This window comes from Homo sapiens, chromosome 12, assembly GCF_000001405.40.
Source record: "Homo sapiens chromosome 12, GRCh38.p14 Primary Assembly".
In the NCBI taxonomy this organism is placed as follows: Eukaryota; Metazoa; Chordata; class Mammalia; order Primates; family Hominidae; genus Homo; species Homo sapiens.
The window spans coordinates 98,503,903-98,529,502 of record NC_000012.12 but is presented as its reverse complement, the minus strand read 5'-3'; the positions used below and the strand labels follow the sequence as shown (position 1 = coordinate 98,529,502).

The following is a 25,600-nucleotide window of genomic DNA, read 5'->3' as shown; positions in this document are numbered from 1 at the left end:
ACTGCAAAATCTTCATCACCTAAAAGTAATCCAACGATGGAAATCCAGTGTATTTAGTCCTAGGTTTTTGTTTTTTAAGGGTATAATTCCTCAATTCCAATCAAGATAGGACTTTCAAAAGGGTACTTTTAATGATAAATGAAAAAGGGGCTCAGCGCGGTGGCTCACACCTGTAATCCCAGCACTTTGGGAGCCTGAGGTGGGTGGGATCACCTGAGGTCGGGAGTTTCAGACCAGCCTGGCCAACATGGCAAAACCCCATCTCTACTAAAAATATAAAAATTAGCCGGGCATGGTGGCAGGTGCCTGTAATCCCAGCTATTCGGGAAGCTGAGGCTGGAGAACTGCTTGAACCTGGGAGGCAGAGGTTGCAGTGAGCCAAGATCACACCATTGTACTCTAGCCTGGGCAACAAGAGCGAAACCCCGTCTCAAAAAAAAAAAAAAAATAGGGTACTAGGCTAGGAATTTAATAACTTCATTAAGAAGAAGTCTGTCACTAACTCACTTTTTCTTTTTCCCTTATTTATTTATTTTTTTTGAGACAGGGTCTTGCTCCACTGCCCCTGGCTGAAGTACAGTAGCCATCACGGCTCACTGCAACTTTGACTTCCCCCCACCATCTCAAGCAATCCTCCTGCCTCAGCCTCCTAAGTAGCTGGGACAATAGATTTGTGACACCACACCCTGCTAATTTTAAAATTTTCTGCAGAGATGGGATCTCCCTATGTTGCTCATGCTGTTCTTCAACTCCTGGGCACAAGCAATCCTCCCATCTTGGCCTCCCAAAGTGTTGGGATTACAGGTGTGAGCTACTGCGCCCGGCCATTAACTCATTTATTTGGGCAAATTTGCCCAGCTATGTTACCTCAGATTTTCCTCAATTGTCATACAAGACCCACGTCTCAGCAGAAGTACGATATAAGTGGCCAGGCACGGTGGCTCACACCTGTAATCCCAGCACTTTGGGAGGCCGAGGCAGGCGGATCACAAGGTCAGAAGATCGAGACCATCCTTGCTAACACGGTGAAATCCCATCTCTACTGAAAAATACAAAAAATTAGCCAGGCGTGGCAGCGGGCGCCTGTAGTCCCAGCTACTCAGGAGGCTGAGGCAGGAGAATGGCATGAACCCGGGAGGCAGAGCTTGCAGGGAGCCGAGATCGCGTCACTGCACTACAGCCTGGGCGACAGAGCAAGACTCCGTCTCAAAAAAACAAAAAACAAAACAAAACCAAAAAAAAAAAAAAAAAGTACGATATAAGCACCATATAAAACAATCTCAACAATAGAGGTAATTTTGGAGATTATCTAATTCAATCCTCTCATTTTATTTCACTCATTTACAGTCAAAGAAACACAGGTTCTGCTGATAACAAATGATTAATGACAAACCAGTCCTTGGAACCTAAACTGCTAAACAAAAAGGAGAAAATAATTTGGGGTCCTGCTTCAGAGAAAAGATACTGTATTTGAAATTTTATCAACTTACCCACAATAGGACCAGGATTCACTCCGTATTTCACAAGCTGATCCAAAAGATCTTCATTAGTGAGCTCTGTTACATCTAGATCATCTTTATCTTCTTGTCTGGGTTTATCAGTTTTTTTTGTGGCTTTCTGTAAACAAAGTCCAGTAATCATTTCCATATGAATTAAAGTGTTCACTTACTAGATAATAACCTGTATAACATAAACATGCAAACTCACTACCAAATTGGTTTATAGTAATATTAGGCCTTAGCAATTCCATTAAATTAAGAGCAACTCATTATTGGAGAACACTTTCTAAGTTGAACTGTAATCATACAAACCGCACAGCCAAGCAAGTAACTTAAAGACATTGTTGTTAAAATAGTCCATTTTGGATTACCTATCTAAAAGAGATAGTAATGGCATCAAAAATGCAAAAGAGCAACTAAAAGTAAAACTGACTTTGGGTAACATTTTCTTTTAAATAACCTTTTTTTTTTTTTTTTTAATGATACAGGGTCTAGCTATGTCACCCGGGCTGGAGTACAGTGGCTCCATCTCAGTTCACTGCAACCCCCACCTCCCAGGCTGAAGCGATCCTCCCACCTCAGTCTCCCAAATAGCTGGGACTACAGGTGCGCACCACCACCCTTGGCTTTTTGCCTGTGGTTTTTTTTTTTTGTTTTTTTTTTTTTTTGTAGAGATGGGGTTTTTGCCATGTTGCCCAGGCTGGTCTCAAACTCCTGGACTCAAGTGATCAGCCCACCTTGGCCTCCCAAAGTGTTAGGATTACAGTTGTAAACCACTGCACACAGCCTAAATAACCAAAAATTATATTTCATTTCTTAAAGCATATAACTCCAATGGCAACGGAAACAGATCAGCATGAACCATGGAAAGTAAAGCCAGACTGGGCTTAACATTTTTCATCTAAATGATCATGAATGCTACTTACTAACTTTTTGATAATCCTTAAAAATTTAAATTAATCCAGGAAAGTTTAAGACTTTACCATACAGGCTTACACTTAGATACATATATAGAAATGATTTTCTTTTCTTTTTCTTTTTTTTTTGGAGGTGGAGTCTCGCTCTGTTGCCAGGCTGGAGCGCAGCGGTGCAATCTTGGCTCACTGCAACCTCCGACTCCCGGGTTCAAGCGATTCTCCTGCCTCAGCCTCCCGAGTAGCTGAGAGTACAGGTGTGCGCCACCACGCCCAGCTAATTTTTGTACTTTTAGTAGAGACGGGGTTTCAACATGTTGGCCAGAATGGTCTCGATCTCTTGACCTCGTTATCTGCCCACCTCAGCCTCCCAAAGTGCTGGGATTACAGGCATGAGCCACTGCGCCCGGCCAGAAATGATTTTCTTTAAACAGCATATGAGAACTTAAGAAGGCCAAATGAATACAGTTGGCTCTCCATTCTCCCAAATGAATACAGTTGGGTTCTACATATGTGAATTCAACCAACCACAGATCAAAAATACTTGGGGAAAAAAAAGACAATACGACAATAAAAACACTAACAAAAATACAGTATAACAACTATTTACATAGCACTTACATTGTATTAGGCGTTATAAGTAATCTAGAGATGATCTGAAGTATAAGGGAGGATGTGTGTAGGTTACTACACCACTTTATATTAAGGGACTTACTAAAGCATCCCCAGAGTTTGATATCCATGGCCGGGTCCTGGAACCAATCTCCACCCCAAGGATAGGAGACAGGACTGTAAACTCCTTGTAACACAGTTATTTTAGTAGCTAGTTTATGACTTAGGAAGGAAATCTGACAGACTTCATGGTTAAATTATCACCTGTGACACAGTTTAGTCACCAGATTAACTTCTGTACCACCAGTTTACTAAAAATAGTCAAAATAACTTGAAACAAACTTTGAGGGAAAATTTGAAAGTTTTAAAATTAATTTCTACAAAGGCAGTATTTACTGGAAAAACTATAAATTTCCAAGGTTGAACAAATAAAAAGGAAGCAAAAGTACGGATACCTTTTAAGGCTGTGGCAAACAGCCTGACAAATGCCTCAGTGATCACAGAAAAAACATCAGAGTACTGAACAAAAAAATGGCTAATTAAACAATGGCAACATCAAAGTAAATTTTACGAAAAAGGCTAAAATTATCAAGTTGTATGGAATGCTCACTTTCCAATAATATTAGGGGGAAAAATCAGTCATGATTTGACTATGTACTGGAATTACTGTTTTTAACAATAAAAATGTTCTGACCTAGAATTGTCAGGCTCAAATCAAATCTTTTTTTTTTTTTTTTTTGAGACTGTGCCTCACTCTTATCCAGGCTGGAGTGCAGTGGCGCAATCTTGGCTCACTGCAACCTCTGCATCCAAGGTCCAAGTGATTCTCCTGCCTCAGCCTCCTGAGTAGCTGGGATTACAGGTGTGCACCACCACGCCCGGCTAATTTTTGTATTTTTAGTAGAGACGGGGTTTCAGCATGTTGGCCAGGCTGGTCTTGAACTCCTGACCCCAAATGTTATGCCCGCCTGAGCCTCCCAAAGTCCTAGGATTACGGGCGTGAGCCATGGAACCTGGCCTGAAATACTTCAAATAAAGCAAGATATGAGAAATTCTTTTTAAAAAGCTGCTAATGGCTAATCATTCTATAATCAGAAGCCAAAAAACCTTCACCAAAAAAATAGCTGCTCATAAGAACAATTATGTCAACTTACGAGAAATCTTAAATAGACGGCTGTGGAGAGTTACAGTGAGAGTACTTTTAGCAGGCTTTAATTCACATACATTGCACTGACCTAGAACTGTCAGGCTCATATCTGGAAGCAACCCACACCATAATATCCAAATAGTTGCCTAGGGTCTAAGAGTTCTAAGACTTATTTCTTTCAAGAAAAGATTTAATCAAACAAACTTAATCCTATGTTACTGACTTACTCAAATTTTCCAAAAAGTGCAGTCAGGTAGTACAGAAAAACTAAATAATGCTTAAAATAAAAATAAAACATGGAAAAACAATCAATCAGGTTCAAATTATTTGTACATAATCCCCACTACCACGAGAATGTTCAAATTTACTATCAATAAAACATCCAGGAAATTCCAACTTTTCAAACCCGCCTGAGAGGTTTTCAAGAAATCTCTTTGGGCCAGGTGCAGTGGCTCATGCCTGTAATCCCAGCACTTTGGGAGACCAAGGTGGGTGGATCACTTGAAGTCAGGAGTTCGAGACCAGCATGGCCAACACGGTGAAACCCCGTCTCTTTTAAAAATGCAAAAATTAGCCGGGTGTGGTGGCACATGCCTGTAATCCCAGCTACCTGGGAAGCTGAGGCAGGAGAATTGCTTGAATCTGGGAGGCGGAGGTTGCAGTGAGTCGACATCATGCCACTGCCCTCCAGCCTGGGCGATAGAGCAAGACTCTGTCTCAAAAAAAATCTTAACTCTTTTTTTTTTTTCTTTTTCAAGGTGGAGTCTCTTAACTCTCTCGCCCAGGCTGGAGTGCAGTAGCGCCATCTTGCCTTGCTGCAACCTTCTGCCTCCCAGGTTCAAGCAACTCTCCTGCCTCAGCCTCCTGAGTATCTGGGACTACAGGTGCATGCCACCACGCCCAGCTAATTTTTGTACTTTCAGTAGAGACAGGGTTTCACCATTTTGGCCAGGCTAGTCTCAAACTCCTGAGCTCGTGATTTGCCCACCTCAGCCTTCCAAAGTGCTGGGATTACAGGCGTGAGCCACAGCACCCAGCCCAAAATCTTAACTCTTGTTACCTCTATTTGGAAAGGTCTTACCCATTTCTGATTCTTCACCTTGGGCCAGATAATCTGTTTGTAATTGTGTAGCCCAGGTGATCTGGATGCAGCATTGAGGCAAGCAACAGAAAGCAGACGCACTATCATCCTCATATTCTTATTCCAAGCATCTAAACATTTCTAAAAAGACTGATACAGGAATAGCCCCCTGATAAATGTTTTGTCAAATCTGGGGAAGGAAAAAGTAATTTATTTTTGAAAATCCATTTCTTATTAGAAATAACAGGCCTATCAAATCTAAGTAAAAACCAATTCTCGGCAGTGGCTCATGTCTGTAATTCTAGCACTTTGGGAGGCCGAGGAGGGAGGATCTCCCGTTGAGGTCAGGAGTTTGAGACCAGCCTGGCCAACACGGTGAAACCCCATCTCTACTAAAAATACAAAAATTAGCCAGGTGTGATGGCACACGCCTATAGTCCTAGCTACTCGGCAGGCTGAGGCTGGAGAATCACTTGAATTGGGGAGGCGGAGATTGCAGCGAGCCAAGATTGCGCCACTGCACTCCAGCCTGGGTGATAAGGCCAGACTTCGCCTAAAGAAAAAAAAGAAAGAAAGAAAATCAATTATATTTCCTTCAAACATAATGAAAAACATCAGCTGAACAAAGATATCTTAAATAAGTGACCAACAAATCTACATAAGGTAAGTCAGATAAATTAAAACCAAAAACGTGATTTTTTTTTTTTTGAGATGGAGTCTCACTCTGTTGCCCAGGCTAGAGTGCAGTGGCATGCCCTCCATCTCCCAGGTTCAAGAGATTCTCCTGCCTCAGCCTCCCAAGCAGCTGAAATTACAAGCGCGCAACACCATACCCGACTAACTAATTTTTGTATTTTTAGAAGAGACAGGATTTCACCATGTTGGCCAGGCTGGTCTCGAATTCCTGACCTCAGGTGATCCACCTGCCTCGGCCTCCCAAAGTGCTGGGATTACAGGTGTGAGCCACTGCACACAGTCAAACATGTGGTTTTTAATCTGTCAGGAAAAAAGTTCCAGAAAAGTGATGTCATTTTATAAATCTCAGATTTAATAAGGATAAAAAATTAGGAGACAGTGTGCTGTACATGATTAGCAGTTTCAGTCAGGAAAAAGGAAGCATCAGTTGCATTAAATTCTGCCTCCAGAAAGCTTTGTTCCTTTAAGTAGATCACTTAAGAGTTTCACTCAAAAATAGTACCTACTATGCTACCCGATGATCTCTAACGTATTTTTCAACTTCAAAACCCAACAGCTCTATGATATCACCGATGAGCTTCTCTAATTCCTTTAATCTCTACCTCTAGTATAAAGATGTTGAACCATAACAATATATTCTAGTGGGCACTTATTATGTATTACGTACTGAGTTGTGTTCCAAGTGTCTTTGCATTAACTTACAGAGTCCTAAAAATCTATGGAATAAAATGCTAATATCCCCATCTGACAACTCAGAAAACTGAGGTTCAAGCATGCTCTTCACTAACTCAGGAAATCTGCATGCTATGATATACATGTCACTTTCACTTATCTACCTTATTCGTTTCCCAAAATTATATTTTAGTAACATTGCACTATATTGCCCTGACATTAAAGACAAAAATTCAGAAATCATTTAATGGCTATTAATTACTAAGCACTAGACACTTCACATATGCAATGGCATGTACTCCTCAATCTGATTAAGTAGCTATTAGGTTATTCCTCTATTTCAGGTGAAAATAGAGGATCTTAGATTAAGACACTGTTCAGTGTCATATGAATAAGTGGCAGACCTGGAATTTGAATCTATAACTCTATTATTCACAAGTCTGTAAACTTAACACCTTATTATACAGTGGTGGTAAATTTGTGATTTAATTAACATTTCCTATTGGTAGCATGCTTTTATGTTCTTTTCCAGGTCTTCAAATATTTCCTATTGAGAATTCATAATTTGGCCAGGAGCAGCAGCTCACACCTACAATCCCAACGCTTTGGGAGGCCTAAGCAGGAGGATCCCTTGAGGCCAGGAATTCAAGACCAGCCTGGTCAACATAGTGAGACTATCTCTATAAAAATTTTAAAAATCAGCTAGGCATGGTGGCACACACCTGTAGTCCCAGCTATTCCAGAGGCTTGAGCCCAGGAGTTTGAGGCTGCAGTGAGCTATGATCATACCACTGCACTACAGTCTGAGGGACAGAGCGAGACCCTATCTCTTAAAAAAACAAACAAACACACAGACAGGCGTGGTGGCTCACGCCTGTAATCCCAGTACTTTAGGAGGCTAAGGGGGGCAGATCACAAAGTCAGGAAGGAGTTTGAGACCGGCCTGACCAACATGGTGAAACTGTCTCTACTAAAAATAAAAAAATTAGCTGGGCATGGTGGTGCACGCTTGTAATCCCAGCTCCTCAGGAGGCTGAGGCAGGAGAATCACTTGAACCCGGGAGGTGGAGGTTGCAGTGAGCCGAGATCGCGCCACTGCACTCCAGCCTGGATGACAGCGCAAGACTCCTTCTCAAACACACACTCATAATTCACCAGAACAGATCATTCAAGAATATTATGCTCCACTAGATCCAAATAGCTACACCTTCAGGCTCTGCCTCTTAAAACAAAAAGGCAGACTGCCAACTCTGTAAATGTTTATTTTTGTGTCCACAATCTAGGTAGTTTCAACACCTAAAAATATTGGTAGCAAGATACATAAAATAAAAAGCTTAGAAATAAGAAAACAAAATAAAAACAAAACTTTTAACATGCAAAGTTTTGTCACATTATACCAAGTGAATCCAAGAGACTATGGTAGAAGCTGAAATGAAACAATTTCTTATTTAATTAAAAATGTTCCCCATAGGCTGGGCACGGTGGCTCACGTCTGTAATCCCAGCACTCTGGGAGGCTGAGGCGGGAGGATCAGAAGATCAGGAGATCCAGACCATCCTGGCTAACACAGTGAAACTCCGTCTCTACTAAAAATACAAAAAAATTAGCCGGGGGTGGTGGCAGGTGCCACCACGTAGCCCCAGCTAATCGGGAGGCTGAGGCAGGAGAATGGCGTGAACCCAGGAGGCAGAGCTTGCAGTGAGTGGAGATCACGCCACTGCAGTCCAGCCTGGGTGACAGAGCGACACTCCGTCTCAAAAAAAAAAAAAAAAAAAAAAAAATTCCTCATAAACCCATGATTAAATAGAAGGTATATGCATGCAAATAGTTAATCTTGGCCAAATCCACATTAATGCTTGATTTGTCTTAAAATGTTAAAAATCTCCCTTATCTGCAACTCTCAAACATAATTTGGCTTTCTCCTATAATATAAATAAATATTCTTTTATTCCTTTTTACCACTCCATTATGCAGAAGATTATAAATATTCTTTAAGAAATATGACCTGGAGGCCGGGAGCGGTGGCTCATGCCTGTAATTCCAGAACTCTGGGAGGCCGAGGCGGGCAGATCACCAGATCAGGAGATAGAGACCATCCTGGCTAACAGTCTTTACTAAAAATACATAAAATTAGCCAGGCGTGGTGGCGGGCACCTGTAGTCTCAGCTAGGCAGAGCTTGCAGGGAGCCGAGATTGCACCACTGCACTCCAGCTGGGATGACAGACTGAGACTCCGTTTCAAAAAAAAAAAGGAAAAAAGAAATAAGACCTGGTATTGGCCGGGTGAGGTGGCTCACTCCTGTAATTCCAGCACTTTGGGAGGCCGAGGCAGGTGGATCACGAGGTCAGGAGTTCGAGACCAGCCTGACCAACATGGTGAAACCTTGTCTCTACTAAAAATACAAAAATTAACCAGGAGTAGTGGTGTGTGCCTGTAAGTAATACCAGCTACTCAGGAGGCTGAGGTAGGAGAATTGCTTGAATTTGGGAGGCAGAGGTTGCAGTGAGCCGAGATCATGCCACTGCACTCCAGCCTGGGTGACAGAGTGAGACTCCATCTCTCACACACACAGAAGGAAGGAAGGAAGGAAGGAAGGAAGGAAGGAAGGGAAAAATATGGTTGGCCGGGCGCGGTGGCTCATGCCTGTAATCCCAGCACTTTGGGAGGCTCAGGCGGGTGGATCAACTGAGGTCAGGAGTTTGAGACCAGCCTGGCCAAGATGGTGAAACCCCGTCTCCACTAAAAATACAAAAATTAGCCGGGCGCAGTGGTGGGCACCTGTAATCCCAGCTACTTGGGAGGCTGAGGCAGGAGAATCGCTTGAACCCGGGAGGCAGAGGTTGCAGTGAGCTGACATCACGCCACTGCACTCTAGGCTGCGTGACAGAGCAAGACTCCATCTCAAAAAAAGAAAAAGAAAAAAAGAAAGAAAGAAAAAAAAAGAAATATGACCTGGTATTATTTTTATATGGGGCTAAAAATGACCAAAACGTAAAATATAGTACATATAAGAGGAATTGACATGAATAATTTTACACATAAATTATTATAAATTTCTTTTCCTGTAAACTTAAAATTATTTTTTCCTATGGCTGATAAAAACATCGAACAGACTCCTAATTATAACTCACTTGTACTTAACGTACTTTAAAACAGAAAATGACGCTGACTACCAATATTTTTCTTCAAGTTGTTGGCATGGCTATTAAGCTCAGTCAAGGGTAAACACCTCTTGAGTTTTAAATACTCCAGGTAGAAGACATTTAAACCTGTAATTATGAAGTAAGTTTTCTTTATATGGATGAAATAATTAAATGAAACGTAAAGAGCTTAATTACCATGCCAATAGACCTACTAGGTACTCTAAAAAACATGACTTCTGGGCTGGGTGCCGTCGCTCATCCTTGCATTCCCAGCACTTTGGAAAGCCCAGGGGGACAGATCACCTGAGGTCAGGTGTTCCAGACCAGCCTGGCCAACATGGCGAAACCCCTTCTCTACTAAAAATACAAAAATTAGCCGGGTATAGTAGTATACGCCTGTAATCCCAGCTACTCGGGAGGTCGAGGCAGGAGAATCATTTGAACCCAGGAGGCAGAGATGAAATCGGGCCATTGCACTCCAACCTGGGCAATGGAGACTCCGTCTCAGAACAAAACAAACAAAACAAAATAACAACAACAAAAATTACTTCATTTTGGCTGGGCGCGGTGGCTCACGCCTGTAATCCCAGCACTTTGAGAAGCCGAGACGGGAGGATCACGAGGTCAGGAGATCGAGGCCATCCTGGCTAACACGGTGAAACCCCATCTCTACTAAAAATACAAAAAATTAGCTGGGGGGTGGTGGCGGGCGCCTGTAGTCCCAGCTACTCGGGAGGCGGAGGCAGGAAAATGGCATGAACCCACGAGGCAGAGCTTGCAGTGAGCCAAGATCGCGCCACCGCACCCCAGACTGGGCGACAGAGCAAGACTCGTCTCAAAAAAAAAAAACCCTTCATTTTACTCAAAACTTATTTACATGATGCTAACCAACTTCAATTAACATATGAGTTGGACAGACAAGTAAATAAACACAATTCATTTTTAAATCCCCAAAGTTTTAAACCCAGTAGTTAAGAACACTTGGTAGGAACTCAAAATTGCTGGATAATCTTAATTAAAAAATTTTTACATTTAGGTCTTCTTACCCCCCAAAAGAACACAAGGTAGATGGGGACATAAACTCTCTTTTACCAAGTGGCTGATAGGAAAACATTAAAACTGAGATGGTTGTTTCTGTGTAAAAGAAATCATCCTCAAAATAAATAGGAACCAAGGCTGAGGCAGGATTGCTTGAGGCCAAGAGTTCTAGACCAGCCTGGACAACACAGAAAGCCTGTGTACCAAAAAAAAAAAAAAAAAAAAAAAAGATTAGAAAATTAGCCGGGTGTAGCGGTGCATGCCCCGTTGCCCTTGCTACTCAGGGAAGCTGAGGCAGGAGGCTCTCGTGAGCCAAAGAGTTTGAGGCTGCAGTAAGCTATGATCACATCCCTGCACTCCGGCCTGGGCAACAAAGCGAGATCCCGCCTAAAAATAATAACCAGTAATTCTATTATAAACATACAACCAAAAACTTCACGGTTTAATACTTTTGCACAGAGGACCAATGAAGGGTTCTATAGAAAATTAGGTTTTTTATAAAGTGTGCTGATTTAAATATTATTTTCAAACAACTTTTTTTTTTTTTTTTTTTTGAGACGAAGTCTCGCTCTTGTCCCCCAGGCTGGAGTGCGATGGCGCGATCTCGGCTCACTGCAACCTCCGCCTCCCGGGTTCAAGCGATTCTCCTGCCTCGGCCGCCGCCACCAGGCACGGCTAATTTTTGTATTTTTTTTCTTTAGTAGAAACGGGGTTTCACCATATGGGCCAGGCTGGTCTAGAACTCCTGACCTCAGGTGATCCACCCGCCTGGGCCTCCCAAAGTGCGGGGCTTACAGGCGTGAGCCACCGCGCCCGGCCTCAACCAACTCTACTTAAAGAGTTTAAATACTACCTTCTTTTTCAGAGCAGGGAAACATAACGGGTAAGCGGGTACGCTTTTATTTCAAAAGTAAATTTGTTTATTAAGAAATTAAAGAAGCTTTCCGCAAAACAAGATGTTTAAACAATAAGGTGTGATTGGTCTTTTATTTATTGTACAAATATTTGGCACTACTATGTGCCAGACACCGGACTGAAGACGTTTGGTAAAACTTTCAACTTCTCTGAAGCCGAGAATAAGATTTTCAATTAAATTTACATGTGTCTATTACATTTGTCTTTCATTTCTGCCTGAGTAGCCGGGAAAACACATTAGACAGGTTCCTTAAAAACTAAAGTAAAATTTGAAGGAAGGAATAATTTCGGTTTAAACTAGTGATCATTCCCAACAACTCCAAACACCACATTCACTGTCTCTTACAAGGCATTTTATGTTACACCAATTACTAGTTTTAGCTTCATCCTATTACGATTTGAAGCCTGGTAACTCGGCAGGCATAAGCAAACCCACAAAAAGCATATTAAAATCCACAGGTAAAAAAGCAAACTATTCTGAAACAAAACATGCTTTGCTGGAGCCGATTTGAGATTTAACCAGGATCAGACATTCCAAATTGCAATACTGATGCACCAGAATGTCATGAAATAAATTTTTCCTGAATCCTAAGTCTTTCGTTTCCTCAAGCAAAATTTACCAATATGTGGGGAAAACGCAATCCAAACTGCAATTTTCAAATATTTGTTTGCAGGGCCGGGCCCGGTGGCTCACGCCTGTTATCCCAGCACTTTGTGAGGCCGAGGCGGGAGGACCACCTGAGGTCAGGAGTTCGAGACCAGCCTGACCAACTTGGAGAAACCCCGTCTCTACTAAAAAATACACAAATCAGCCGGGCGTGGCGGCGCATGCCTGTAATCCCAGCTACTCGGGAGGCTGAGGCAGGAGAATCGCTTGAACCCGGGAGGTGGAGGTTGCGGTGAGCCGAGATCTCGCCATTGCACTCCAGCCTGGGCAACAAGTGCGACACTCCATCTAAAAAAATAAATAAATAAAAACTAAAAAATTATAATAGGCGCCTAAAAATATAGTTTAAAATGCTCCTTTTAATTCGGCATGAACCTGTTCCGCCAAAAGATGGCCTGTTGCTGGGAAAAATTAAAACAAACTAGAAAACATAAACGGTTCAAAAAGCCCTCCACACGCAAAAGTATAAAAAGGCGGGAATTTCCTCATTTCAAATTTTGGTTAGAAATTAGAGTGTCATCAGTTGCCCTCCAGGGAGCGCTCTGAGACTCTGCTGCGAGTCATTTCAGTTAATAAAGCGGGAAAACGCTCGAACTTAACCTATAGCATTTTGGGGCCACCCCTCCAGAGCTTTCGAAAGGGCACGGAAGTCCCCGTCTAAACGCCCGCTGCAGGCGGCTGGTGGTCCAGGGAAGCGGCGTCGACTGCGTGCAAAACAACCGCCGCCAACGCAACTCCACACCTCCCAGACCCACACGTCAAAGAACGCGAACCCCGCGGCCCCAACTTCTGGCCTCTCCGCTCCGGCGCCTGCAGCCCCGCGGGGAAGGGGCGACGCGAGGGGGCGCAGGGACAGCCCCGCACCTGGGAGGCCCGAGGGGGCGCCCGGGAGGGAGGGGCTGCAAACGGCGGCGAGCGCGCGCGGCAACCGCCAAACGCCCGCCTTTGTAGCCCCGGCCCCGCGTCCTTACCCTGCCGACGGCTGCTCGGCTCCGGCCCGCGGCGGCGGCCCCAGAGCCGAGGACCGGGGTGGGCTCGCGCTCTTCGTCACTGGAGAAGTCCGGGGGCCCCTTGCTGTTGGTGCCGGCGGGGAGCGGCGGCCGGTTGCGAGCCGTGAGGTGCTGCAGGTAGAGCTGGACGTACACGTCTTTGCGCTGCTCCCCGGCCGGCAGCGTCACATTGTTGGCGACCAACTCACTCTTCAACTTGTCTTTTGTCAGGACCGAGGGGTCTTCCAGGAACTCCGGCATCTCGGGGATCTGCGAAGCCCCCTCCCCACAGCCTTTGCCGCCGCCGCTCACGCCGGCGCGCTTGCTCCTGGCCGGGGACCGCGCTGCCGCCTCCGAGCCTCACGGCTCCTGCCCGGGAAGAGCGCTGCGGAGCGGAACAAAAACTCGCGGACACAAAGCCAAGCCAGACCCGGACACAAAAGACCCCAGAGCCGAACTACGAACCAACTGCGGCCAAGCTGGAAGCTCGCACCAACCCCAGCCCACACACTACAGGCAGGAGGCGAGCAGCCTGCTTCGCCCACGCCCCAAGAACGCGCGCCGCCATTGGCGGGCGACGGGAGGAAGCGCGGCGGTGATTGGCGAGACGGCTCGCGCGGGTTCCATTAGCCGCCGCGCTGAGCGAGAGGAGGTAGAAACGCAGTTTAAAAGGCGCTGGGGCGGGAGCCGAGGCTCCCGGCCCGCTTCTGTTTTCGTTTTCTCCACCCTTCCCCTTAGACGCCGATAAGGGACAGGTCGTACTGCTTTTGTGCGCCGTTTCCTCTCCCTCCCCCAGCTTGAGAAGCAGCTTTCGTCTCTGGGGTCGATCGCCTACGAACGCGCCGAATTCCACGCCAGTGTGAGGACCCTTGGCTGGGCCTTTCTTCCTCCCGGGACACTGAAGCTCCAAGAGTAGCCGCAGCCTTGCCTTCCCCAAACGCTAGCCCTGAAGGGGAAGAAAAGAAGCGAGGCTTGTCTGCAGGCACTCATATTCCTTGATTTGATTTACTTTGGGAGGGGGAGGGCGGGGAGTTACCCCTCTCCTCGCGAACGCTTCTTTTGTTCCAGAAACCCAGGGGAAGCCAGACCTCTACAATCGGGCACTTAAATTACCCTTGAATTTGTGACAAAAGTGTACTATACCATTCACTTCTTAGTGTCATAGTTGGGGCATGTCTAAATTGTTTAATTTGAACAGTGCGTTCAGACGCAAGACAAATTCGCGCTTGCATTTTTGTTGAAACCGTCTCTGGCTTTGGATCCCACCACCCGCAAGAATCCTAAACCTAACGTTTGATAACAAAACGAAGGAGAACCCTTGGGAACCCCCTCAATGGTCAATTTAAAATAACAGATGGTGCATAATCCTAAAGGAAGACTAGTGACCTATAATTAGGCCTAGAACCCTAATCAAACCCGTATTACCGATCCAAATTAAAACCTGGTAGAATCTAATACATTGACTGCAATTAAAATGTTTGCCTGGAAATTAGTATCACTGATGACAAATATTTGTATTTCTGATGAATATGTATGTTTAAAGATGCTTTCTTTCTAGAAAGGAAAGGAGACCTTGGATGTAGGGTGTGTTAATCATTTCCCCAGAATCTGAGCTCCAAACTATGTTTTAGAAACTGGTTAAATTTTTTTTAAATGTTTGCCTGCTTTCTACATTGCTAGGTTAGAATACATTTAAAACAAACGCCTTCACTAAAAATGTTTCCTATGATTTAAGCGACTTACTTTTATTCAAATTGCGATATTATTTCTTTTAGTGATAATTATTTTCCTAGAGGTAACTAATTCCTTTATAAAAATCTCAGTATTCACATACATTTAAGCAATGGTATTAAGCTCAATAATGCAAATTAAAAATCAGGTTTTAATTAGCAAGTTGTTAGGTAGGTTTTTATGATCCCTTGTAAAAGTTGCTTGGTTTTTTGTCCTCACAGCTTCCCTGGACACATAGGCAAATGTTTTTATCTTCAGAAGGGGAACTGAGCTGAGAGGCAAAGGACCATGACTTTGCAATGACTGGTAACCCAGTACGTATAATGCAAGAACTGCATTCTAGATACGCCTGAAATTAATGTTTCCTGGGCAAAAACATTTTCATTATCTTTTTTTTAATCCCTGGACATTAGCTACAGGTGGTTACTTGCAGATTTACTGCTGTAGAGCTCCAAAATTGAGATTACACTTTTCAGATTCTGCGTACCCTAAGGCTAAGAGGTTGGGCTATTGAGTTTGGGTGGTCTCTTTGGTCCTGATTGCTACTTCCAAACCATTTCTGCTCTTTTCTGCTTCAAAAATATTTGAAGTTCATATCTTCTGGCTAAATCACTTTCTACTCTCCTTCCTGCCATCATCCACGAGCCTCCTGGTCACTTTCCAGAAATTATAGAGCTGCTTGCCGTAGGTTTTCCTCACCATCCCTCTTGTCTACATTCTATCTGAATTCAGCATGCTTGTAGGTGACCCATGCAACACCAACACTTGGCCTCTTAGACCTCTGACCTCTTCATCTCCAACAATTTGTTCCTCTCTTGCGTCTTAACCACTTCGGTATCAGTCAGATTCTGAACCTTGTCATCAGTTGAAATCTCAGTTTCAAGCTTCCCAATTGTCAATCACTAGCCTTTTTTTCCCAGCTAATTTATGGTACTCTCACTTACCTAATTAAGACCTCCACGCTATTAACCCCAACACTTAAAAAAACTCAACTCTTCTGCTTCTGCCATCATGTAATAATTTTGCAACTCACCTGACTTAAATTCCCTGATCAGTCCTTTTCATCACTCTTTTACAAACATTTTCAACTCTCTGATCTCAATGTCTCCTTTTTTGCTTGAAAGAATCTCAGCCTTGCTTGGACTAAACCATGCTCCAGCTGAACTTTCTCATTGCTTACATCCAAACAGCAAAAGCTGCTGGAGAAAAGTCAGTCATATAACAAGCTAACTGGTTTTAATTCATGACCTCAGTCCTCTCAGGAGCACTCAACACTGGCTGGCAATGCTATTCCAGTCTCTGGGTTAACCATTCATACGTTCACATCTCCTCAAATTTCACATCCTTTTTCCCTACCTCTCATTTTTAGCTGGTGACCTTGCCTCAACTTCAAAAAATAAAAACCACCTATGAGGAATGCTTCAACGTCAGACTTTCCAATTTGCATTCATTTTCTCTTGCATTTTTCTTTTCAGTGAAAGATGTGTCCTGTCAGAAGGAAATTCCACCACTTGTACTCTGGCTCTCACCCTTCTCAAGGAATTGACTCTTTCCATCATCTCCTTAATACTTGTTTCAACATAAAAGATAATTTTTAAAATATTTGATCAATGTGACACAAAAAACACAAAGGCTGAGCACTGTGGCTCACGCCTGTAATCCCAACACTTTGGGAGGCTGAGACAGGCGGATCCCTTGAGCTTAGGAGTTCAAGACTAGCCTGGGCAAAACAGTAAAACCCCCTCTCTACAAAAAAATACAAAATTTAGCCATGGTGCCCACCTGTAGTTCTAGCTACTAGGGAGACTGAGGTGGGAGGATCACTTGAGCCTGGGAGGTTGAGGCTGCAGTGAGCCATAATCCTGTCACTGCATTCCAGCCTGGGTGACAGAGTGAGACCCTGTCTCTAAAATCAATATGTGTAAGATGTAGATTGGTCCCTTCCAGAAAGGCGGGACAACTATTAATAAAAGTGGGGGTTGGGGGGCTCGGGGTGTTCCAGGTCATTGGTAGATAAAAGTAATTTTAATTCAGAAAATTTCACAGGGAAATGAGAGTTTTTAGAAGTCTTAATATTCTGACTGTGGTCAGAATGTCCAACAGAGACTAGGCTGGAGTGCAGTGACGTAGTCTCGGCTCACTGCAACCTCCGCCTCCCAGGTTCAAGCAATTCTCCTTGCCCCAGCCTCCAGAGTAGCTGGGACTACAGGCGCCTGCTAATACACTCATCTAATTTGTTTGTATTTTAGTAGAGACTGGGTTTCACCATGTTGACCAGGCTGGTCTTGAACTCCTGACCTCAGGTGATCCACCCGCCTCAGCCTCCCAAAGTTCTGGGATTACAGGCATGAGCCACTGTGCCTGGTGGATGCAAATTTTTTTTTTTTTTTTTTTGGAAATGGAGTCTCCCTCTGTTGCCGAGCCTGGAGTGCAGTAGCACAATCTCAGCCCACTGTAACCTCTGCCTCCCAGGTTCAAGCAATTCTTCTGCCTCAGCCTCCCAAGTAGCTGGGATTACAGGCGCCTGCTGCCACGCCCAGCTAATTTTTTTGTAATATAGTAGAGACAAGAGTTTCACCATGTTGACCAGGCTGGTCTCAAACTCCTGACCTCAGGCAATCCACCCGCCTCAGCCTCCCAAATTGCTGGGATTACAGGCATGAGCCACTGCGTCTGGCCTGATGCAATTTTTTTTTTTTTTAAATCAGAAAACTTTCCCATAACTTAAAAAAAAATCATCTGGAGGTGGGCCCGGTGGCTCACGCCTGTAATCCCAGCACTTTGGGAGGCTGAGGCAGGCAGATCACCTGAGGTCGGGAATTTGAGACCATGTGGAGAAACCCCGTCTCTACTAAAAATACAAAATTAGCCTGGCGTGGTGGCGCATGCCTGTAATCCAAGCTACACGGGAGGCTGAGGCAGGAGAATCACTTGAACCCGGGAGGCGGAGGTTGTGGTGAACCGAGATCGTGCAATTGCATTCCAGCCTGGGCAACACGAGCGAAACTCCATCTCAAAACAAACAAACAAACAAAAATCACCTGGATAACTGCCTCCATTCTTTTTTTGAAGTTCTTAATATTATTAACATACAGCTGGCTTTGTTTTTCATTATCCCATTTTGCGGAGGATTGGTTGTGAATTTAAGGGTGTCACCTCAAACAGGAGGGTAAGTTGCACTTTAAGTGATGTAAAATAGTAAGAAGCTAAAAACCTTAAAAAATGTTTAGTTCTCGGCCGGGCGTCGTGGCTCATGCCTGTAATTCCAGCACTTTGGGAGGCTGGGGTGGGCGGATCACTTGAAGTCATGAGTTCGAGCTCAGCCTGGCCAAGAAATTAAAAAATTAGCTGGGCCTTGTGGTGGGCGCCTGTAATCTCAGCTACTAGGGAGGCTGAGGTAGGAGAATCGCTTGAACCCGGGAGGCAGAGGTTGCAGTGAGCCGAGATCGTGCCACTGCACTCCAGCCTGGGCGACCGATCAAGACTCCATCTTAAAAAAAAATAATAAGAGGGGCCAGGAGCGGTGGCTCACACCGGTAATCCCAGCACTTGGGGAGGCCAAGGCGGGCAGATCACATCAGGAGTTCGAGACCAGCCTGACCAACATGGTGGAAGCCCCTCTCTACTGAAAATACAAAAGTTAGCCGTGCCTGGTGGCATGCGCCTGTAATCCCAGCTACTTGGGAGGCTGAGGTGGGAGAATCCCTTGAACCCGGGAGGCGGAGGTTGCAGTGAGCTGAGATGGCACCATTGCACTCCAGCCTGGGCAACAGAACGAGACTCGGTCTCTCAAAAAAAAAAAAAGTTTAGCTCCCTTAAGCCATTTCTGATAATTTATTCTAAAGATAAAATCAAATGTGGAATTCATTTATAAAGGTATTTATTGCTTCATTTATAATGGTGAAAAAAATAAAAAATCTCTATCTCCAATAGTAAGGAATTGGTTGTTTATGATATATCCATATGACAAAATAATGCACAGTAGTAAAAAATCATGTTTTGACATTTAAGAATATGAGGCTGGCTTGGTGGCTGTCACCTATAATCCCAGTACTTTGGAAGGCTGAGGTGGGAGGATCCCTTGAGCTCAGGAGTTTGAGACCAGCCTGGGCAACATAGGGAGACCCCAGTCTCTACTAAAAATAACCAAAAATTAGGTGGGGCCGGGCACGGTGGCTCACGTCTGTAATCCCAGCACTTTGGGAGGCCGAGGCGGGCGGATCACCCAAGGTCAGGGGTTCAAGACCAGCCTGGCCAACGTGGCGAAACCCTGTCTCTACTAAAAATACAGTAATTATCCAGGTGTGGTGGTGGGCACCTGTAATCCCCAGCTACTTGGGAGGCTGAGGCAGAAGAATCACCTGAACCTGGGAGGCGGAGGTTGCAGTGAGCCAAGATCTCGCCATTGCACTCCAGCCTGGGCAAGAGCGGAACTCAGTCTCAAAAAAAAAGAAAAAAAAAAAATTAGCTGGCATGCTGGTGTGCTCCTGTACTCCCAGCTATTGGGGAGGCAAAAAAAAAAAAAAAAAAAAGAAAAGAAAAGAAAAAAAATAATATACATCAAAGTGGAGTACTTTCTCTTGGATAGTGAGGCACAGGTGATTCTTATTTTCTTTTTATTTATATGTCTGTATTTCCCTAGATTTCCACAATGAACACATATGATTTTAAAACCATATTTTTCTTTTTAAGTGAGAGTGCTAAGTTGGAGAACCATTTGGCTTATCAGAATTCAGGTCTGCATTTCAATTCTGCGTGTCCAAAAGCTCAATTTTATTAGTTCGTCCAGAATACATCGCTCTGTAAACCAAGAGAATCGGAGACAGGTCTCAATCAATTTAGAAAGTTTATTTTGCCAAGGTTAAGGACACACCCATGACACAGCCTCAGGAGGTCCTGACGACATGTGCCCAAGGTTGTGTGGCACAGCTTGGTTTTATACATTTTAGGGAGACATGAGACATCAATCAATATGTTTAAGATGTACAATGGTCCCATCCAGAAAGGCGGGACAGCTATTAATACAAGTGGGGGTTGGGGGGCTCCGGGGTGTTCCAGGTCATAGGTAGATAAAAGACCAATGGTTGCATTCTTTTGAGTTGCTGATTAGCCTTTCACTGAATACACTATTTACAGGAATAGTCACTTATGTTAGTCTGGCTTAGGGAAACAAAAGGGCAATCAGATATGCATTTATCTCATATGAGCAGAGGGATGACTTTTTAAATCTCTATCTGTCCTTTGTCCACAAGGAATTTCTTTGTGGTCAAATTGTGAGGGAGGTATATATAGCTTTTTTATCTTAGTAGCTATCTTTTTTTTTAGGAGTAGAATGGGAGGCAGGTTTGCCCTAAGCAGTTCCCAGCTTGACTTTCCCTTTGGCTTAGTCATTTTTGGGGTCCTGATGTTAGAGGGGTTTGAATCACAGCACCTCCATGTTGAAAAAAGGGTGGGTAAGGCCGTGCACGGTGGCCCATGCCTGTAATCCCAGCACTTTGGGAGGCCAAGGTGGGTGGATCACCTGAGGTCGGGAGTTTGAGACCAGCCTGATCAACATGGAGAAACCCTGTCTCTACTAAAAATACAAAATTAGCTGGGCGTGGTGGCACATGCCTGTAATCCCAGCTACTCAGGAGGCTGAGGCAGAAGAATCGCTTGAACCCGGGAGGCGGAGGTTGTAGTGAGCCAAGATCGCGCCATTGCAGTCCAGCCTGGACAACGAGCAAAACTCCGTCTCAAAAAAAAAAAAAAAAAAAAAAGAAAAGACCTACTGGGCTGCATTCCCAGACAGTTAAGGCATTTTAAGTCACAAGACGAGATAGGAGGTCGGCAGAAGATACAGGTCATAGGCCGGGCACGGTGGCTCACGCCTGTAATCCCAGCACTTTGGGAGGCCAAGGCAGGTGGATCACGAGGTCAGGAGTTCGAGACCAGCCTGACCAACATGGTGAAACCCTGTCTCTACTAAAAATACAAAAATTAGCTGGGCGTGGTGGCGCGTGCCTGTAGTCCCAGCTACTCAGGAGGCTGAGGCAGAAGAATTGCTTGAACCTGGGAGGTGGAGGTTGCAGTGAGCTGAGATTGCACCACTGCACTCCAGCCTGGGCGAGAGTGAGACTCTGTCTCAAAAAAAAAAAAAAAAAAAAAAAAAAAGACACAGGTCATAAAGACCTTGCTGGTGAAACAGGTTGCAGTAGCCTGCCAAAACCCACCAAAACCAAGATGGCGATGAGAGTGACCTCTGGTTGTCCTCACTGCTACACTCCCACCAGCACCATGACAGTTTACAAATGCCATGGCAATGTCAGGAGGTTACCCTATATGGTCTAAAAAGGGGAGGCATGAATAATCCACCCCTTGTTTAGCATATAATGAAGAAATAACCACAAAAATGGGCAATCAGCAGCCCTCTGGGCTGCTCTGCCTATGGAGTAGCCATTCTTTATTCCTTTACCTAATAAACTTGCTTTCATTTTATGGACTCGCCTTGAATTCTTTCTTGTGTGAGGTTCAAGAACCCTCTCTTGTGGTCTGGATTGGGACCCCAGTAACACCGAGATTTTTCTTTCACAGGACTTAAGTAACTAAAATACTCTCAGAAAAGAAAGCAAGGCTATTAAACAGGTGAAATAAATGCTCAGAGCATTCTATAGTAGTGGATAAGTCCTCTTGCAAGAATACATGAATAGACATTTCTTAGTGAAATAGAACAAATCCACAGAGCTGTCTTTTCTAGACAGGTCCATGTTTCAGTTCAAATCCTGACACTTCATAGCTCTTGATAGCTCTTTGTTTCCACCTTTCCTATAAAACTCTTTCCGTATATCATCCCTATATCATGAGTATAGAAGATTAAGTTAAAAAGTGTTGGATTTGCAGTCATTTCAAAGTTATAGAAAGTCATCAGATGGAGCATTCTAAAAAACTACAGATGTCCAGCCTTGGGAAAGAATCTGGGACCTGGGAAGTGACAGTTTTAGAGCCATAACAGTATTAATAATGACATGTATAACAGCTTCAAAAACATTTTGATGTATTTTATCTTATTTGATCCTTTTAACCTGTGGGGTAAGTAGGACGTCTAGTCTTGCCTTGCTTTATAGGCCGGAGGTCCTCAAACTTTAGCTTGCATCAAAACGGCTGGAAGGTTTGTTGCTGTGCCCCACACCCAATTTTCTGAGACTGTAGGTCTGAGGTGAGGCCTGAAAATTTGCATTTCTAACTTATTCCCAGGATGGTGGTCCAGGAACAGTTCTTGGCCATTTTTTAGTCTTTGTGAAGCTGGCTGGATTGTCTTAGTCATGAATTATAGTTCTGCATTGCCCTCAGAATAAAATCTAAATTAGTTGGAATGGCACACTGATCCTGTATGCTGACGCCTATTTACCTCTCCAGCCATTCTGCAGAACTAGTAGTTCTTGACGGAAGCTGTATTCGTTTGCCAGGGCTACCATAATAAAAGTAAACAGATATTTATTTTCTCAGAGATCTTGAGGCTAGAAGTCTAAGATCAAGAGGCCAGCAGGGTTGGCTTCTTCCTAGACCTTGGCTTGTAGATGGCTACTCTCTTGCTGTATCCTCACATGGCCTTTCCCCTGTGTGCACACATCCTTGGTGTCTGTGTGTCCAAATTTCCTCTTATAAATATGACACCAGTCAGACTGGATTAGGGCCCACCCTAATGGCCTCATTTTTACTTAATAATGTCTTTTTTTTTTTTTTTTTAAAAGAGAGTCTTGCTCTGTCACCTAGGCTAGAGTGCAGTGGTGCGATCTCGGCTCACTGCAACCTCTGCCTCCCGGGTTCAAGCAATTCTCCTGCCTCAGCCTCCCGAGTAGCTGGAATTATAGGCACCCGCCACCGCGCCCAGCTAATTTTTCTATTTCCAGTAGAGACAGGGTTTCACCATGTTGGCAAGGCTGGTCTCCAACTCCTGATCTTGTGATCCACCTGCCTTGGCCTCCCAAAGTGCTGGGATTACAGGCGTGAGCCACTGCACCTAGCGTACTTAATCAGGTCTTACGATCATTCTGAGGTACTAGGAGTGAGGGCTTCAACATATGAATGTTGGGGAGATGAAATTCAGCCCATAAACTGGGTGTGGTGGCTCACGCCTGTAATCCCAGCACTTTGGGAGGCTGACGCAGGTGGATCATGAGGTCAGGAGTTCAAGACCAGCCTGGCCAACATGGTGAAACCTTGTCTCTACTAAAGATAACAAACAAACAAACAAAAAAATAGCTGGGTGTAGTGGGGTGCACTTGTAATCCCAGCTACTTGGGAGGCTGAATCGTTTGAACCTGGGAGGCGGAGGTTGCCACTGCATTCCAGCTTGGGCGACAGGGTGAGACTCCATCTCAAAAAAAAAAAAAAAAAAAAAATTCAGCCCATAACAGAAGCCATTTCTTCCCTCTGGCATCATTTGCATATACTGCATATATCGTAGCTTGGACCAATCATGTTAACTCATTTGGACAAAACCATATTTTTGTGATGTAGATGGAGAGGTTGTATCACCTTGTTATAGCCTCATACAACCCAATGTGGAGTTACTGTCCACTGTTTTAGCACCCCCATACCACTCTGTTCATGTTACTTTCATGGTTCTTACCAAGTAACATGAACTTACCCCAACACATTATGGCGTTTGGTGGCTTAACATATCTGTCTCCTGATGCTCAAAAAAACCCATTTTTACTCAGTGTATCCTCATCCTTAGTACTTAGCACAGTATCAGGCTCATCAGAGTTGACAGTCCATAAATACCCGTTGAAATGGATGATCTAATTTTAATCCAAACAGGAGAGGGAAGAACAAACCACACCATGTGCAAATATAATTTCCAGGTATACTGCTACATTAGGTTGAATCAAAAGAAATTAGTGTTTGGTATTTTCAAAATACTAAGCAGAAAACCTCAGGAATTTTACAAAACATATCATCAAAATCTAAAACTATTAATTTCTCATAGTCTTGCTATTCATTTTCTGTTCAACAAATATTTGACACTTACGTGTAGGGCACTATTTAGTACTAAGAGTCCTGGAGCTTGCAAATGTGAACGAGCAAGCTTTGCTTCCTGCTATTAAAGAGATTAATAGTCAAAAGTGGTGACTAGTCATCACTCGCATAATCGGTGAAAACATAAAAGGCGCCCAGTCCAACAGCTTTTCCCACATTCCTCCCCGCCACCCACCTCCAGAAGGAGTCTTGCTTGGTCACCCAGGCTCACTGCAACCTCCGCCTCCCGGGTTCAATCAATTCTTCTGCCTCAGCCTCCGGAGTAGCTGGGATTACAGGTGCACCCCACCATGCCCAGCTAATTTTTGTATTTTCAGTAGAAATGGGGTTTCACCATGTTGGTCAGGCTGGTCTTGAACTCCTGACCTCGTGATCCACCCACTTTGGCCTTCCAAAGTGCTAGGATTACAGGTGTAAGCCACTGAGCCTGGCAGTCACACATTCTTTCAACTGTTTGTTTCCACCTTTATTATAAAGTATTTATAAAGAGGGATCCAGAGTCCCTCACCTGGTTCAGAATCTTGGGTGACCCTTGGCAGGTCACTAACCCTGTGAGCCACAGCCACATTTGTAAAAGTGGGATAATAGTCACACATTGTGAGGTTGTTCACAGTGTTGGCACATGGTAAGGGCTAAGACACTTGATTAGCATAATATTCAAAATTAGAAATTGTACACTATTGTACTCTCTTTCAAAAGGCAAACAGCCTAAAACTGTTTGGAAAAAACAGCTTGTACAGTATATTGTACACTTCCTGTGATAGACTAGTGGACTGATACACCCACTAATGCACAGCAGTAATAGTCCACCTCTTTACACATTATGCATGTTAAGTGACAAAAAAACTCACTTTAAAAGGCCAAATGATAAAAACATCAGCCTTGAGGCTCTTCGATATAGAGTAAATCATATCTTCCTGCAAACCAAGGATTAGTATCATAATACCTGAAAGAGGAAAACTTAATTCTAACATTCAAGAAAATTGGCGGCAGGAATACACCTCGGCTTCTAGTAGTCGGTAGTTTAAAATACAGGAGGAAAAAAAAAAAGTTTGACCCCGACGTGATTCGAACACGCAGCCTTCTGATCTGGAGTCAGACGCGCTACCGTTGCGCCACGAGGTCCTGCTGGGCTGTGGCTCGCGCAGTTTCTTAGGACACCAGTAAATGGCGTTTCTTCCAGGGGTACCAGTCTTTCTCTTCCATTTACTCTCTGCCCCTCCACCCAGTATCTGTCGGACCAGGAGACCGATTCCTTCAGCGTCCAAACTTTCCTGACTGCTAGTCCTCTAACCAAGGCTGGGACGTAACCAGCGGAAGCGGGAGAACGGGGCTTCCCGTTTAGTCGGGTCTCCAGGATCAAAGGAAATTGGCCCTTCCTTTTCTTTACCAAATGATTTCCGTTCTTACCCGCCCTGCCCCCGCCCCGTTAGTCGCGAGACTCCGCCCTCTCTCCCCTCCCCCAACAGGTTCC

At 44.3% G+C, this 25,600-nt stretch overlaps 1 protein-coding gene, 1 long non-coding RNA gene and 1 other non-coding gene across 8 annotated transcripts in view, besides 8 other annotated features; 1 reads left to right on the top strand and 2 right to left on the bottom strand.

The window, feature by feature from the left end:
* The window catches only part of TMPO (thymopoietin), a 34,779-nt gene extending 20,849 nt beyond the window's left edge, over window positions 1-13,930 (bottom strand). For 3 of the 6 annotated variants that reach the window (NM_001032283.3, NM_001307975.2, NM_001032284.3), the window contains exons 1-2: window positions 13,357-13,913; window positions 1,491-1,617 (exon numbers count right to left, since the gene is read on the bottom strand). In NM_001032283.3, coding sequence (NP_001027454.1) covers window positions 1,491-1,617; window positions 13,357-13,635 — 406 coding nt within the window. In that variant the 5' untranslated portion in view covers window positions 13,636-13,913. Of the gene's footprint in view, window positions 1-1,490; window positions 1,618-12,985; window positions 13,083-13,356 lie in introns of those variants that run through there. The other 3 variants (XM_005269132.5, NM_003276.2, XM_017019914.3) reach the window with 2 other exon arrangements.
* Window positions 1,035-1,201: a silencer, noted in NCBI's record as "fragment chr12:98922080-98922246 (GRCh37/hg19 assembly coordinates)". NCBI's record gives its function as "represses an EF-1alpha promoter that drives an FKBP-Casp9 reporter gene in an ReSE screen in phorbol 12-myristate 13-acetate-treated (for megakaryocytic differentiation) K562 erythroleukemia cells {active_cell/tissue: K562(+PMA)}" and the evidence as "EXISTENCE:reporter gene assay evidence [ECO:0000049][PMID:32094911]".
* Window positions 11,041-11,100: a silencer, noted in NCBI's record as "silent region_4753". NCBI's record gives its function as "represses an Ori minimal core promoter by ATAC-STARR-seq in GM12878 lymphoblastoid cells {active_cell/tissue: GM12878}" and the evidence as "EXISTENCE:reporter gene assay evidence [ECO:0000049][PMID:35858748]".
* Window positions 13,154-13,423: a silencer, noted in NCBI's record as "silent region_4752". NCBI's record gives its function as "represses an Ori minimal core promoter by ATAC-STARR-seq in GM12878 lymphoblastoid cells {active_cell/tissue: GM12878}" and the evidence as "EXISTENCE:reporter gene assay evidence [ECO:0000049][PMID:35858748]".
* TMPO-AS1 (TMPO antisense RNA 1) lies at window positions 13,277-16,530 on the top strand. The gene is made up of 2 exons (NR_027157.1): window positions 13,277-13,512; window positions 13,606-16,530. It is a non-coding gene; the product is annotated as a TMPO antisense RNA 1 (long non-coding RNA).
* Window positions 13,764-13,953: an enhancer, noted in NCBI's record as "active region_6844". NCBI's record gives its function as "activates an Ori minimal core promoter by ATAC-STARR-seq in GM12878 lymphoblastoid cells {active_cell/tissue: GM12878}" and the evidence as "EXISTENCE:reporter gene assay evidence [ECO:0000049][PMID:35858748]".
* Window positions 14,214-14,293: an enhancer, noted in NCBI's record as "active region_6843". NCBI's record gives its function as "activates an Ori minimal core promoter by ATAC-STARR-seq in GM12878 lymphoblastoid cells {active_cell/tissue: GM12878}" and the evidence as "EXISTENCE:reporter gene assay evidence [ECO:0000049][PMID:35858748]".
* Window positions 17,445-17,945: an enhancer, noted in NCBI's record as "H3K27ac hESC enhancer chr12:98905336-98905836 (GRCh37/hg19 assembly coordinates)". NCBI's record gives its function as "activates a minimal SCP1, AML or CMV promoter by ChIP-STARR-seq in primed H9 embryonic stem cells {active_cell/tissue: H9 hESC(primed)}" and the evidence as "EXISTENCE:reporter gene assay evidence [ECO:0000049][PMID:30033119]".
* Window positions 20,591-21,134: an enhancer, noted in NCBI's record as "H3K27ac hESC enhancer chr12:98902147-98902690 (GRCh37/hg19 assembly coordinates)". NCBI's record gives its function as "activates a minimal SCP1, AML or CMV promoter by ChIP-STARR-seq in naive H9 embryonic stem cells {active_cell/tissue: H9 hESC(naive)}" and the evidence as "EXISTENCE:reporter gene assay evidence [ECO:0000049][PMID:30033119]".
* On the bottom strand, window positions 25,180-25,251 carry TRW-CCA4-1 (tRNA-Trp (anticodon CCA) 4-1). Its single transcript has one exon. It is a non-coding gene; the product is annotated as a tRNA-Trp (tRNA).
* Window positions 25,291-25,590: an enhancer, noted in NCBI's record as "active region_6842". NCBI's record gives its function as "activates an Ori minimal core promoter by ATAC-STARR-seq in GM12878 lymphoblastoid cells {active_cell/tissue: GM12878}" and the evidence as "EXISTENCE:reporter gene assay evidence [ECO:0000049][PMID:35858748]".